A 2,426-nucleotide genomic window follows, 5' to 3' on the forward strand; every position below is an offset into this window, starting at 1 on the left:
ATGGAATGAGTTAGGAATGGAATGAGCAGACTTTGAGAACCTTCCCTAAGAGATGGCACACCTGCACTCTTGGCACAGCTGCTCTATATTTCTTCCATTCTTTTCCCTCAAATGCCAGCATCTGAGACTATGAGCCCAAAGTCACACACAAATCAAGGAGTGTCTGTCTACAATACTTTTTTTTTTGGTCTGAAAAAGAAATAAACTGCTATCATGTTCAAACCATTGTTACCCTGGGTTTTTGTTGTTGTTTTTGTTGTTGTTGCTGTTGTCACAGCCAAAACTAATCCTGATAGTCTATTGCTATGTCTTCAACCTTATTCAAGTAGTTTTGTAACTGAAGCAGCACATGGTGTAATTAAACACGAACCTGCAAGCTGATAACTTTCCCAGTGTCGCCTACCCTGCCAAGGATGAGGGTGGCAAGCTTAGGGTCTGGCATCAGAGAGGGTGTCTGCAGCTCTAACTGAAAAGAGCTTCCAAGAGCTGACTCTCTTCCCAGTAAAAAAAAAAAAAAGAAAAAAATACGAAGAGAAAAGGGAGGTGATGCCACCATACAAGAGGAAGGCATAGGTATTATTTTGCAAAAGAGGATATACTATTTTTCTTCTCCCTTCATTACATTTTTGAGATTTAATGGCTAATTTCAAAATTGCTTAATGGGTCAAAAGCACAGCCCTCAGATAGAGTAGGACAATCCATGGACCCTAGGGAACCTGCAGAGACGCTCACATGGAGGTGAGTGGCAGGAACACCAAATGGCGGAGCACGCCTGAGGCCGGGGAAAGGCAAGTCTAGAAGACTCCACCTTCACAGGTAGGGGTGACAGGCTTCCCAAAGACTGGAATTTCAGCTCCCATGTGCCATTTCCTGATTTAATGTCAGTCATTTGCCAGTTCTTGTTAAAATCAAACTTCTATTACAAAAAACTTAGAAATGGTCAAAGTACTAAGAAGAGGCAGGTTGTAGTAGCTCCGTATTTTCAAATATTCCCAGGCATTATGTTTCTGCTTAGAATGTAGAAAGTCACAGGAGACCATGGTTCTCCCCTTACATTAAGAACAAGCTAAATAAGCTACTAATCATGTTCTAAAACTCATCACAAAGAGCTGAGGACACAAAGAAATGAAAACAAAGTAAATTCCAGAAAGTGATAAGCACTTTCTAGGAGAGGAGAGACCTATGGCTGCTTTCATCCCTGACAGAGTAAAGAGGAGAAATCAGCCAGAGACAGAGATAAGGAGAAACCAGCCAAACTTTTAATAAAAGTTAATTATTGCAAGCGTGAAGCTGGGCACGGTGGCTCACACTTGTAATTCCAGCAACTTGGGAGGCCAAGGTGGGCAGATCGCTCGAGCTCAGGAATTCAAGACCAGCCTGGGCAACATGGTGAAACTCCATCTCTACTAAAAATACAAAAGTTACCCGGGCGTGGTGGCAGGCACCTGTAGTCTCAGCTACTCAGGAGGCTCAGGTGGGAAGATTGCTTGAGTCCGGGAGGTTGAGGCTGCGGTGAGCTAAGATTACACCACTGCACTCCAGCCTGGTTCACAGAGCCAGAACTTCTCTCAAAAAAAAGCAAGTTTATTAGAAACTTTTTCCTAGAATGCTTCTATCTTAGACCATGACCTACTATTAATAGAACACCAAGCAGCTCCAGCCTCAGAGCAAGTCGGCACCTACCCACCTCTTCTCCATAGGCCTTCACTAGTGCATGGGACTACTAGACAGAAGTCTGAAGGCAAAGCAAGAGACCTAAGAGAGTGCCGCACACACCTTGAAACCTCTGGAAAAAATGCATTTTCCATACATATCACTTAATCAAGTAATTTTGTGCCGTATTTCATCATATTCAAGACACTATCAATTATAAGATGCACCATTATTTTAGGACCACTACATATAACTAATGTATTAAGGATAGTAATGTGCAACACATGAATGACTCACACTGTCCTCTCGTTACCTAGAAATCTGAGATTTGCTTATTTCTCCTGCCTTAGGTTGCAGCGTTTCAAATGCAACAGTGCAGTGTCATAATGTAATCTTTCTGAAGACATTTCTGATCCCACTTAAATTCAACATTTGTACTTCTGACAATGAACATAACCCAAGTGAAGTGCAGACATTGTGCCAATCTTTGAAGAAGCTCACACATAAGTAAACAATGACTACGTCTGACTGCTGCCTGGCCCACAATGTTTGTGAGACACCGCTGCTGGTAAGAGACTTCCCAATTTCAGAGGTTAATATGAGCCCAAAATGTGCACTTTAGGATCATCACAATATGAACAAAAAATTTTCCTCCCGATCAGTACTATCTATGACTCTTCTGTTACTTGTGTATTTCTAAATGTCTTATGTATCTATAGAAAGGACCCCACATTTGCATTTTCCTTTCTCTTCTCATCATTATGTCTATTCAG

This window comes from Homo sapiens, chromosome 12 (assembly GCF_000001405.40).
Source record: "Homo sapiens chromosome 12, GRCh38.p14 Primary Assembly".
NCBI classification, from domain to species: domain Eukaryota; kingdom Metazoa; phylum Chordata; class Mammalia; order Primates; family Hominidae; genus Homo; species Homo sapiens.